Source organism: Homo sapiens, chromosome 7 (assembly GCF_000001405.40).
Source record: "Homo sapiens chromosome 7, GRCh38.p14 Primary Assembly".
NCBI classification, from domain to species: domain Eukaryota; kingdom Metazoa; phylum Chordata; class Mammalia; order Primates; family Hominidae; genus Homo; species Homo sapiens.
In genome coordinates, this window is record NC_000007.14 from 151,836,356 (window position 1) to 151,849,690 (window position 13,335).

At 51.9% G+C, this 13,335-nt stretch overlaps 1 protein-coding gene across 7 annotated transcripts in view, besides 2 other annotated features; it reads right to left on the bottom strand.

Moving 5' to 3' along the window:
- The window catches only part of PRKAG2 (protein kinase AMP-activated non-catalytic subunit gamma 2), a 320,989-nt gene that overhangs the window by 280,229 nt on the left and 27,425 nt on the right, over positions 1–13,335 (bottom strand). The gene's annotated exons all lie outside the window — the stretch shown is intronic.
- Positions 1,668–2,249: an enhancer, noted in NCBI's record as "H3K4me1 hESC enhancer chr7:151535109-151535690 (GRCh37/hg19 assembly coordinates)". NCBI's record gives its function as "activates a minimal SCP1, AML or CMV promoter by ChIP-STARR-seq in naive H9 embryonic stem cells {active_cell/tissue: H9 hESC(naive)}" and the evidence as "EXISTENCE:reporter gene assay evidence [ECO:0000049][PMID:30033119]".
- Positions 2,482–2,531: an enhancer, noted in NCBI's record as "active region_26871". NCBI's record gives its function as "activates an Ori minimal core promoter by ATAC-STARR-seq in GM12878 lymphoblastoid cells {active_cell/tissue: GM12878}" and the evidence as "EXISTENCE:reporter gene assay evidence [ECO:0000049][PMID:35858748]".

Here is a 13,335-nt window from a genome sequence, read left to right on the forward strand (position 1 = left end):
CGAGAGAATGGGGTGGTGGCTGCCCCAGGCCAGCTGGTCCAGGCAGCTTCCCTGATCACCGCAGTGACGCTCCTGCTCAAGCTGGGAGAACCAGGGTCAAGTCCCTTCACTCAGTCACCAAAACAAGAAACAAAAACAACAACAACAACAAAGGCAAGGTGGACCCATCGCTGGCTCCTCTGCCTCCAGGGGATCAGAACTTGCCCCCTTCCCAGTGTGAATTCCCCTCCGATGGGGTGTGGAGGCTGGGGTAGTCTCTAGGCTGTCCCAGCTGTGCCTCTGGCCTCCTGTCTGGGTGCAGCCTTAGCGGGGCACAGGAGGGCGTGTATGCGGGTCCTCCAGGGTCCTCAGGCCACAGCTCCTGGGCTGGAGAACTGTGAGGTAGGACCTAGCCCCTCGGGTCCCCTGCCCTCTCCTCCTGGCAGGTTCTCTGGCTTTAGGCATTAATGTCCTGTGACAAATTCACTTAGGACTAAGAAGCCACTGAGAATATTCAGTTCTTGGATCATCCACAACAGCGGAAGCAGAACAGAGTGAGCACTCCAGACGCGAAAGGGCCCGGCCCAGCCAGCTTGCGGGGACCCCCGAGACGAGGTCCCTGCCAGACTGCCAATGTTTATTTGAGGCTATTTGTTTAAATTCAACTTGAACCCCGGTTACCTCCAGCTCAGCCCTGCCCTGGGCGCTGCGAGGAAAACAAAGCCACACCACACCGTGCACAGCCGTCTTCACATCTCTGGAAGACATCACCGTACAGGAGCGGTGGGGAGACAGACCGAATCCCATAAAGTGTGACCTCCTGCCACTGCCACAGCCAGGGCAGAGTGCCCTTCGGGGCTACACAGCTCCCCCCACCACCCCAATCATTACAGGAGAAAGCAAATTGGTGAGACCTGGTATTTTTCATTAAACAGATAAAGTTTATTTTCTTCAAATAGTATCAGAAATATTTTGAAATGACCCTCAATTCCACATTGGGGTCAATTATGGGGGAGGGAAAGGGGGAAAGTGGACAGGAAGATAAGGTGGAAGAAGAGGGAGAGAAAGAGGCAGTGCTGGCCCACGGGGATGGCAGCTGGGGGTGAATCCGGGCGACCCTCCCTCCATCCAACCGTCGGCGCTCGCAGGGCGTTGAGAGTGCTTCACACAAACGGAGAGAAATGGTTGATATTAGTATAGTCATGGTTAATATAAACCTTAAATACCTTTTTAAAGATTAGAAGCTGAGCTGGGAACGGGGCAATCAGGCAGCCTCGAGGGGGGACTGCAGGGAGCAGGGGAGAGGCTTAGAGAGTTCTGAATGCCACACGCGAGGCACTTTTCTCAGGGGGCTCTTAAGCCCTAACACCTTTATAATTTCCCCTTAAGATGCTAATGATCTATTAATCACTGTTTCTGGCTGACTTCCCTTTACACCAGTGCCTTCAGAAGCTCCCCTACCGAGTGGGCCTGTCTTAGGGAGGAATTACTTCCTACAGCTAATCCAGAGTTCCCGCCCCCTGCAACAAAACCCACAGCAGCTTCTCCTCCGGTAAAGCCGGGATCTGAGCAGACAGTCACTCCTGTGGGCAGCGCTGGCTGGAAAGGACACTGGAGCAGGCCGCGCCTGGGCCTTGGAGACACGCACAGGACCCTGGAGGAGGCCACACCTGGGCCTCGGGAACGCGCACAGGACCCCGGAGGAGGCCACACCTGGGCCTCGGGAACAGGCACCAGCAGAGGCAGGACTGGAAAGGACAGGAGAGGCTGGGCCCACATTTAATCTCTGTTCCCTCTCCCTCCACAGTGGTGCCTTTATTTCTAGAAGCAACGAAGGAAACACAGTAGACTCAGAGCCAGAAGAGGAAGAGGAGGCCAGCTCCCACTGCTGCAGCACTCAGCTGGGGTCAGCGGGGCTGTGGCGTTGCACCACTCCATGAAGGGCCTGGTGTCCCTTGACTTGGACACCCTCGACCCTGCCAGGCTCGGCCCCACAGCCTTGCTCAATCCCCTCAGCACCCTCGTCTCCAGCAGACGGGTATCCTGGACATGTCTCACCTGATTTGACACAAGACCACCAAGACAAGGGGCAGGTGGGTGCAGTGGCTCACATCTATAATCCCAGCACTTTGGGAGGCTGAAGCAGGAAGATTGCTTGAGCCCAGGGGTTGGAGATCACCCTGGGCAACATGGTAAAACCCGTCTCTACAAAAAATACAAAAATTAGCCAGGTGTGGTGGTGCATGCCTGTGGTCTCAGCTACTCAGGAGGCTGAGGTGGGAGGACCGCTGGAGCCAGGGAAGTCGAGGCTGCAGTGAGCTGTGTTTGCTCCACTGCACTCCAGCCAGGGAGATAAAGCAAGACCCTGTTTCAAAAAAAAAAAAAAAAAAGTAAAGAAGGCCAGGCACAGTGGCTCACACCGGTAATCCCAACACTTTGGGCGGCTGAGACAGGCAGACCCCTTGAGTTCAGGAGTTAGAGACAAGCCTGGCCAACATGGTGAAACCCCATCTCTACTAAAAATACAAAAATTAGCCAGGCGTGTTGGCTCATGCCTGTAGTTCCAGCTACTCGAGAGGCTTAGACAGAAGAATCGCTTGAACCCGGAAGGCAGAGGTTGTAGTGTGCAGAGACTGAGCCATTGCACTCCAGGCTGGGCAACAGAGTGAGACTGTCTCAAAAAAAAAAAAAAAAAAATAGAAAAGGGGCAGCTTCCTCTGAAGCCAGCTCTGCAGACTGGCAGCTGCCTGACACCTCAGCCGGGCCATTTCCTGAACGGCTAGGCAGGGGCACGTTGGGCTTTAACTGCCCTCAGCCCCACCCCAACCAGGGCTCGCTGCACCAGAAGCTTCCTAGAAAACCACATCTTTTCTGCTAAGAATCAGAAAAGTCGTGATATTCTCAGACATCAGCCAACTACAGACTGGCCTGCAGAAGGAAGGAAAGTAGAAGGAGGAAGTCAAGTGATGCTGGGGCAAGGCAGCGTGGCCGGGCACCGCGGTCGGAACTCTCGTGCTGGTTTGCAGCTCAGAAGCGGTCCGCAGCCCCTGCCGTCCAGCCCTAACCCTGACCTCTTTAGGCCTCAGTTTCCCCACCTAGACAAGGATGATGGTCCATGAGTCTGCTATTTTTCATTGAGCAACCTTGTACTCAGTGCCTGTTCGGAATGAGAATAGCAATGTCTACAGTTCCAATGCTTTCGCCACACCTTACTCATGTCTTGTATTTAAATCCGGTCTGATGATTTACATAATGCTTCACCCACGAGAATTCCTTCAGCAGGGAATGAGGGTGTCATGGAGACGCCGCCTCGGGCCTCGGTAACCACTAGGGAAGAAACGCCAGGGACACCTGGTCCTGACTTGGGATCTGGTGCTCCAGGCTCTAGCTCTGTCCATAGCCCAAGGGTGCTGAGCCCCAAGTGGTCACACCTGCAATGTCACTGAGCTTGGGTAGTGGTCCATCCAGGGCCAGCCAGCCCAACGTAGCAGGGGCCCGCCTTCCCCAGGGACACCGTGTGGCCCAGGAGCCACAGCAGAGGAAGCTGAGCAGGGCGGCAGAGGAAGCTGAGCAGGGTGGCAGCTCCCTGGGAGGCCACACCTGTACCCCAGGGGTTCTTGGACAATTGGGGGCAGGGCTCAAGAGGGAGATCAGATATCCCCCTAACAAAGAGAGTGGGGGCTGGAGCGGTGAATTTGGACACTGAAAGAGGAGTGACTGTATTTGTACCCTGAGTGTGTGCGCCAGTCCTTGAGGGCATTACATTTTACATTACGTTTGTAATCAGAAAAGTAGACTTTCAAAAGAAGACATCATCTAAGTTACTTGTTAGGAGTGGCAGATTCATCTCCCCGGAGCTGGTGACAGTAGGGAGGCATTTGAAAAGGTGCCTGGACAGCACAGGCCTTGAGGGAGGACAGGTCCTCCATGCCCAGAATGCAACTGGCTGGCTAAGGTGCCTTCGAGGTTCCCCAGGCTGCCTGTGTAGAGAAAGCAGCAGCTGGCCCAGCAGCCCAGCTGCAAAGGGCCCTCACCATGCACCAGTTAGTTACTCATTCATTCATTTAGATGAGGTCTCGCTCTGTCATCCAGGCTCAATCATAGCTGGGTGGGGCAATCATAGCTCACTGCAGCCTCAACTTCCTGGCCTCAATTGATCCTCCCATCTCAGCCTCCTGCCTCTGTGCACCTGTCCCGAGGCCCCAACCTGCAGTCCTGAGACTACAGATGCATCTGGCCCCCGGACCTGCACTGTGTGGATGTGGCTTCTGTCAGTTCACTGCCTCAGGAGCAAGAGTAGGAATGGGAGGTCCTCCCAAGATGGAAGTTCACTGTTCTGTGAAACATGAACCCCCCGGACCTCCGTCGCCAGAGTGGTCCAGCAGGGTGCACAGGGGCTCCGGCCCCAAGCCGGCCTGCTTCTGATGGAGGGGTTTACACCGGAGCGAGGAGCTGCCCACCCGAGTCTCAGGCTCCTCATTCATCAACTGTGGATGTTGTTAGTTTAAGAATATAAAGTGCTGCCGGGCACGGTGGCACCTACAGTCCCAGCTACTTGCGACGCTGGGGCAGGAAGATCACTGGAGCCCAGGTGTTCAAGTCCAGCCTATGAGACAGAGTGAGACCCCATCTGATTGACTGATTGATTGGTTAATTGATTAATTGATTGGTTGAGACAGGATCTCACTCTGTTACCCAGCCTGAAGTGCAGTGGTGCGATCTCAGCTCACTGCACCCTTGGCCTCCTGGATTCAAACAATTCTCTCACCCTGCCTCCTGAGTAGCTGGGACTACAGGTGCCTGCCACCACACCAAGCTAATTTTTTTATTTTTTGTAGAGACAGGGTTTCCCTATGTTGCCATGGCTGGTCTCGGACTGCTGGGCTTAAGTGATCCTCCCATCTCAGCCTCCCAAAGTTCTGGGATTACAGGCATGAGCCACCGTAGTGAGGGTAGCAGTGGTGGTAGTAACAGTAGGTAGTGATGGTAGTGATGTTAGTGATGGTAGGTAGTAATGATAGTGATGGTAGGTAGTGATGGTAGGTAATGATGGTAGTGATAGTAGGTAGTGATGGTAGTGATGGTAGGTAGGGATGGTAGTGATAGTAGGTAGGGATGGTAGTGATAGTAGTGATGGTAGGTAATGATGATGGTAGTGATGGTAGGTTGGGATGGTAGTGATGGTAGGGATGGTAGGGATGGTAGTGATAGTAGGTAGGGATGGTAGTGATGGTAGGTAGTGATGGTAGTGATGGTAGGTAGTGATGGGTAGTGATAGTAGGTAGGGATGGTAGTGATAGTAGTGATGGTAGGTAGTGATGATGGTAGTGATGGTAGGTAGGGATGGTAGTGATGGTAGTGATGGTAGGTGGGGATGGTAGTGATGGTAGGTAGTGATGATGGTAGTGATAGTAGGTAGTAATGGTAGTGATGGTAGGTAGTGATGATGGTAGTGATAGTAGGTAGTAATAGTAGTGATGGTAGGTTGTGATGGTAGTGATGGTAGGTAGTGATGGGTAGTGATGGTAGGTAGGGATGGTAGTGATAGTAGTGATGGTAGGTAGTGATGATGGTAGTGATGGTAGGTAGTCATGGTAGTGTTGGTAGGTAGTGATGGTAGTGATGGTAGGTAGGGATGGTAGTGATGGTACGTAGTGATGGTAGGTAGGGATGGTAGTGATGGTAGGTAGGGATGGTAGTGATGGTAGTGATGGTAGGTAGGGATGGTAGTGATGGTAGGTAGTGATGATGGTAGTGATGGTAGGTAGGGATGGTAGTGATGGTAGGTGGGGATGGTAGTGATGGTAGGTGGGGATGGTAGTGATGGTAGTGATGGTAGGTAGTGATGATGGTAGCAATGGTAGGTAGGGATGGTAGTGATGGTAGGTAGTGATGATGGTAGCAATGGTAGGTAGGGATGGTAGTGATGGTAGGTAGTGATGATGGTAGCAATGGTAGGTAGGGATGGTAGTGATGGTGGGGATGGTAGTGATGGTAGGTAGTGATGATGGTAGCAATGGTAGGTAGGGATGGTAGTGATGGTAGGTGGGGATGGTAGTGATGGTAGGTGGGGATGGTAGTGATGGTAGGTGGGGATGGTAGTGATGGTAGGTGGGGATGGTAGTGATGGTAGGTAGTGATGATGGTAGCGATGGTAGGTAGGGATGGTAGGGATGGTAGTGATGGTAGGTAGTGATGATGGTAGTGATGGTAGGTAGTGATGGTAGTGATGGTAGGTAGTGATGGTAGTGATGGTAGGTAGGGATGGTAGTGATGGTAGGTAGTGATGATGGTAGCGATGGTAGGGATGGTAGTGATAGTAGTGAGGGTAGGTAGTGATGATGGTAGTGATGGTAGGTAGGGATGATGGTAGCGATGGTAGGTAGTGATGGTTGTGATAGTAGTGATGGTAGGTAGTGATGGGTAGTGATGGTAGGTAGTGATAGTAAGTAGCGGTGGTAGCATGGGGATGCTGCCGTGAAGCAGAGGAGGCTTCACAATTCTGATTGTGAAGGCTTCAGAACTCTGATCTTCTCAATTCAGGTGGAAACGTGTCTTTAGGATAGAAAACAAGTAAACTGCAGGATTCCCTTCAAGGTCTAGTTCTTCCCTGTCCCTACTTTGGGACACTGCTGAACAGGCTCCATCTGAGTTCAAGAATCTGGGTGTATCTGTGCAGGCCAACAAGCCAATACAGCAGGCATTTGAAAGACACACATACACGCAGGCCATGCTTTTAGTCATGCAAACACACAGTGTCTATATATCTATGTGCACAGATTTCTGGGCATGAATATATGTGTTCCAAGCCCCAGTGTACCTACAAGTTTTGATATAAACCTACACACAGACGTGCAGCATATGTACACAGATAATACTTAAGTGTCCACATGTCTAGAACCTGGAACAAAGCTGCATATAAAAGCAGATGGAACACAGCAGCAGGGCTATGTCTCACGTTGTCGTTTCCTGAAGCTGATGTACATGAGACACTTCATTCTAGTTCTGTGGTTTCTGCAAGGAACTGGTGGGCCAACCATTCCTAAGGAATATGGTGTTGACAAGCTGAAGACAGGCTGCACCATCACGCGGCTACAGCTGTTGTTCTGAATTTCAAATCTGGTGGCTTCATTGTTGTTTTCCCAAAAGTTTCATGAATTATGTCACCAAAAAACTCACTGATTTATGGAGTAAAGTTGAAGCAATATCTAGTTGGTGTGTTTTCAAAGAGAATAAATGGATTTCTGCTTGCACTTCTATTCCCAGAGCTGAGTATTTGAGTGTTTGTTCTAGGATCTGGTATCACACAGCCTTATCTCTATCCCCACTGGGGTGAGGCCCCCCAAGGAAGTTTAGGCTGGAACTTGAGACCACTTATCACCAAATTAATAAAATAGATTCATTTGGAATCAGCTGACTCAAAGCAGGAAGACTTGGACCCAATTCAAACATCTAGACCAAAACCTACACTCTGTTTGGTTAAGATCGGATAGAAATTCTTCCTCTTCACATCTCACATCCATGGACATGTCATGGCAGAAGGCTCCATCGTCCTCAGAGCCCAGCCAGGGAAGGTGAGCAGGAGGCAGCACATGGCTGCCCACCTCTGTAGAATTCCAAGGAACAGAAGCTTTTTAAAAATTCAGATTCCAAGGCCTCAGCCTGGGCCTCCTGACTCCTGGCCAGGGTTTGGAGATGTAGAAGGAGGTAGAAGGAGGAGATAGAAGGAGATGGAGAAGAAGGCATGAGTCAGTTTCCTCCCACACTCCAGGCCTTTCCCAGGGGTTGGGGAAGCCCTTGGGAAGCTCTCCTCTTTTGCTGCAGAGATAGAGAAAGAGCGTGGCTCTGAAGTTGTGGCAGTGTCCCTCAGAGACTGGTCACTCACTACTACAGACCACAGGCAGGCCAGTGCTCCCTCTGGGCCTCAGTGTACTCTTCTGTAAAATGGGAAGATCATACTGGGTGACCTCATCCCTAACACCTCGTCTCTAGCTCTCAACTTCTACCACTCCGCGAAGTCGTGTGGGCTGGAAGTCAGAGCGGCTTCCTCAAAGAGGCGGAAGAGGACCCATCACATGAAGGGGCTGGTTTGGCGAGGCAGAGGTGGGAAGGAACGGGGGTAAAAACCCTCCCACCTGGGTGAGCGTGTCCATCGGAGCAGTGGTTCTCAAATGAGAAGCCCTTCCCCATGAGCGAATCACAAAGTTATTTTAGGTAGGTCATACGAAATAGAAAGAGATACGAAACGTAGAACAGACAATAACTCAGTGCCTGGCAAACAGTGAGCACTATGCAAACACGAGTTATTATTTCTATCGTGAGTCATGGTCCAAAAGTTTGAAATACACTAACTTTCTGTGGCTCACTGTCTCTATTTCGTCACCAGCATGTGACCTCCATGAGTGAGGGATTTTTGACAGTTCTGTTCACTCTTAAAGCCCCGTGTCTAAAACAGTGCCCGGCACAAAGTAAAGGCTCAGTAAGTATTTACTGGATGAATAAATCGGTATCATTCCATGCAATTGTTGTCACATACATATATTCCCTCTTGGGCTAGACCGCCTGGGTCTGAGTCTGGCAGATGAATTCTGTGCTCCCCAGCCCGGCAAACCTCCCTGGGACACGGGGACGTCACAGCTCCTCTTCTCGGTGCTGTTGAAAAGAGTGTATGCGGAGCTCCAGGGATGGCGGCAGGCAGCCTCCGCCCCGCACAAGGGTGCTGGGAGACATCTGTCCCTCCCCACCTGCCCCTGTTCCCAGCTGCCCCCCACATCTCAACCCCACAGTTCCCTTTCCTGGCAGGATCACTGCTCGGCATCCCTCTCCTGGCAGCGACAAAAATGGCCCTCTTCACCCCGACAGCCTCTTCTCCTCGTCTGTGGCCTGCTTGAGCCAGGATGGGACTCATTTCCTTCTCAGGTGAAGACGTTGTTAGTGGAGAAAATGAATCTTGGGCTAATGAGCTGATCAGAACCTTGAGCTGCAAGAGGGCTCCGGCTCTCTTCAACTCCTGGCCCAGTGGTCCTCAGAGCGTGGTTCCCGGACCAGCAGCGTCCTTGTCAACCTAGGAACTTGCTAGAAAAGCACATTCATGAACCCGCCTCAGACCTACTGAACGGAAAACTCGGCGGTGGGGCCCAGCCTCCAGGTGACCCCAGAGCTTGCTCAAGTTTGAGAACCACCAGCCTAACTATTGTTGAGGAGGGAGGAAGCGGTGGTGGCCCCACTTGGAAGTCTGGGCCCTGGCAGCATCAGGACTGACTCGTGGGGGAGGCGCTGGGAAGGGAAAGGCGGTGGCTGCCGTTTTCAGATGCCTGCCTCCCTTCCCAACCTCGTCATCCTCACAAGGGGAGGTGGCTGCCAAGTCACCTAAATGCTGAGGGCGGCAGGTAGTGGGAGCCGCATTTCCCAAAACACTGCGGGGGCGGGAAAGGCCCCACCTAGGAGATCAGAGCTCTTCCCAAACACCAACGGCAACCCCAGCTCATCGGAGCCACCAGGAATAATTCTTGCCATTAGCCCCAGAGTCTGCCGCTCCCTCAGGGTCCCTCTCCCGGCATCTGGGGGCTGGATTTTCACACACACAGTGTGTATGGTCCCGGAACACAGACGGGTGCTGTCCTCAGATCGGGGGCTAGCAGGGTCTGGAGGAGCCCTCCTCAACAGATGAGTCCCTGTGACATGACTTTCCAGAGCCAGACCTCCCGGCCTGATCAGTGCTCGCCCCTACTTGCGGTGTGTGAGCTGACACGATTTACCCTGATGGGCAGCTGTTTATTTTTACAATTTATGGTGAACCATGTTAGAAGTTTTCCATTTCTTCTAGTCTTAGAAAGTTTCTTTTAAAAATAAATGTAAGGCCGGGCGCGGTGGTTCACAGTTGTAATCCCAGCACTTTGGGGGTGGGCAGATCACTTGAGGTCAGGAGTTCGAGACCAGTCTGGCCAACATAGCGAAACCCCGTCTCTACTAAAAATACAAAACTTAGCTGGGTGTGGTGGCGCACGCCTGTAATCCCAGCTACTCAGGAGGCTGAGGCAGGAGAATCACTTGAAACCGGTAGGCAGAGGTTGCGGTGAGCCAAGATCGCACCACTGCACTCCAGCCTGACGACAGAAACTCCGTCTCAAAAAAATTTAAAAATAAAAAAATAAAAATAAGCTTAAAAATTGCACTTGGATATAAAAATTGTGCAGGTGTGAATGGCTGCAATTTGGAACTACCCTATCCCACAACGCCACCTCTGTTTCTGAGGGACACCGTAACTTAGGACGCTGGCAGGAGGTGGTATATGAGACCCTTTGTGCATGTATGTCTGTATGTGTAGGTGTGTATGCGTGTGCATGTGGATGAGTGTTTGGACGTGTAGATAAAGTGAGTATTCTTCTGGTTATCTTTGTATCTTTGTAAAATGAATCCCCCTCTTATAACCACCATAGGGCTTCATAAATGCCATGTCCTACAGTATTCTTCTGTAGTTGGATTCTAGGACGTTTGCATGACTGTTCTAAAAAGCTTGGTCATATTTGAAGAGGAGGACAGTCCACTAACACGCACAGCTGGGAATGAGATCCAGTTTTGCAAAGGGATTTGTGTTTTAATGACACAAATGTGAGTCCTCATCTGCTTCTTAAACTGTCAGCAAGATCACCAAGGCTGTTACTAATGTAAGTGTGTATGGGGGTAAGCGGCTGGGTGAGGGACTGCTAGGTAAATGCTCTCGGCCTTGTACCTGTGCAAAGCCCATGCTTGACGGGGGATGCCCGAGAGGGAAATGGTTCTGGAATCTCCCAGTGAAACCGCCTGGACTTTGCAGGAAGACTGCAGCCTTAGGCTGGGGTCCCTGATGTCTAGTGTTATTCTGGGTACACAGCAGTGTCCACACAGCAGATACCAGCTTAACTGTGTGGCCGAGATGGTACAGTGAAGAATATTCCTCTTGGCCAAGCATCCAAAGGGAGCCCCTGAGCTGCCGGTAATTTTCCTCTGGCCAAGGGTTAGCAGGCTGGGGCGACAGGAGCCTACTGAGAGTGAATTAGGCAGGTGGCTCTTAGCTGACTTTTCCTTCTATGATCAGCTCTGTTCCTTTTCTCAAGCCACATCCTCACGGACGCTGGCCTTGAGCTCTTGTCCCCGAGCCTCTCTCTCTAGGAACTTGTCCTTCCCACAGGACATCGACACCTGAGACCCTGTGAAGCACCCCACTGAGGCTGTACCCCCTGGCCTTCCCAGCCCCATCACTCATCCTGGGGCACTGCTCATCTTCTGAAGGCTCAGAGCCCTTTTCCTTCCAACACGACGATGAGCTAACCTGGTATATAACCACGCGGCAAAGCACCGACAAGCTCCGCTGGGGCTGCTCCAGCCCTTGCTCCCAGCCTGGGCACCTGAGTCTTTCGAACTGGCTCTTTCTTCCAGACACAATGCTTCTGTCCTCTGGGGTTTCAGGTGTAGAGAAAAGGAGGCCACCCTGTGAGGTTGGCGCCCGGAAGCATCCGTTTAGGCAGGTGAAGCTGGCAGCTCACACGGGCTCCCCGGAGCAGACTGGGGGTGTCTTTCCCCAGCTCCATTAACTGAGGCCATGTGGAAATCTTCCATGGTGGGAACATTTACACCACAGCAGTCAGGAAACACTATGAATCAGAGCTGCTTTTCTAAAGAGTCAGTTGCTAAAGAGTGCCCGTGGCCCAGCGGCTTTTAAACTACGCCACCCCTCCCTCCTGCACTGTGAAGTCAGATTGCAGAGACGAGGCTGAGGACTTCAGCTTTCAGGATGGGAGCAGATGAAACCTTTGGATAAATACTGCTATGGTTTGAATGTTTGTGCCTCCTACAAAATTCATGCTGAAACTTAATCCCTCATGCAACAATATTAAGAAGTGGGCTTGGGGGTGGTTAGGTCATGAGGACAGGGCCCTCAGAAATGGGTTACTACTCTTAGAAAAGAGCTGGAAGGAACCAGTGAGGCCTACTTTTGTCCATGTGAAGTCACAGTGTGCAAGGTGCCACCTTGGAAGCAGAGACCAGGCCCTCACCCAACACCGAACCTCCTGGCACCACCCTCGTCTCGGACTTTCCAGCCTCCAGAACTGGAAATAAATTTCTATTCTTCAGAAATCACCCAGTCTCGGGTATTTTGTTATAGCAGTACAAACAGATGAAGAAAATACTGCATGTCTTTTTTTTTTTTTTTTTTTTTTTTTTTTTGAGATGGAGCTTCGCTCTTGTTGCCCAGGCTGGAGGGCAGTGGCGCAATCTTGGCTCATTGCAACCTCCACCTCCCATGTTCAAGCAATTCTCCTGCCTCAGCCTCCTGAGTAGCTGGGATTACAGGCCCCCGCCACCACCCCTGGCTAATTTTCATATTCTTAGCAGAGACAGGGTTTCACCATGTTGGCCAGGCTGGTCTCAAACTCCTGACCTCAGGTGATCTTCCTGCCTCGGCCTCCCAAAGTGCTGGGATCACAGGCGTGAGCCACCGCACCCAGCCTACTGCATGTCTTTTGATCTACCTAAAAATAAGAAAATGATAATAAGGATAATAAATAACTTTAAAAATTAAATTGGACTTCCGTCAGCAGACATCATCTCATTTGATCTTCACAGCCCGCAGGTGAGGAGAGTTGGGGAGGCCAGCCACCGAGCCGTACGGGTTGGCTCAGGCAGGCCCAGGACCTGGGTACTGCTCCACGGTTCCTCTCCCAATGGCTCCTGCAGGGTGTTCTGAACGAAAATGGGTTCCCATTTAGGAAGTTCTTTGTGATCCTGGAATACAGGGGCGTGGTGGAGACCTCGAGAATTCTAACCGTGTTGGGGAAACGAAGACGCAGAGGCAGTGCCCCCTGCCTGGCAGGCCGCAGGCCCTGAGACACAGGCTGCCTGGGGAAAGGGGCCTCCGATGCACCGTGCTTTGGAGAAAGTTTCTGGCAGGGCCCTGCTCCCTCCCACACGGGGCGGTCTGGCCATGCCAGCTAGGCTCTGTTTTCTGGAACTTGGCCCTTCCCTTCCGCAGGAGTCCAAGCGATGTCAGGATGATGGTGGGGAAGTTCTTAGTCAAGAATCTCCGTGCCTCAGTTTCTCCATGTCCCTATTAGTCTCTGTGTCTAGATGGACAGGAGACCAAAGGATGGAGGGTGACAAGAAACACCAAGTCCTGCTGTATTCATTTCTGGCGGCTGCTGTAACAACATACACACACGGGGTCTTAGAACAACAGAAACGGATTCTCTCAGAGTTCTGCAGGCCTGAAGTCCAAGATCAAGGGGTGGGCAGGGCCGCGCCCTCTCTGAAGCCTGTGGGGGACCCTTCCGTGCCTCTTCCTAGTTCTGAGGGTCACTGGCTCTCCCTGGGGATCCT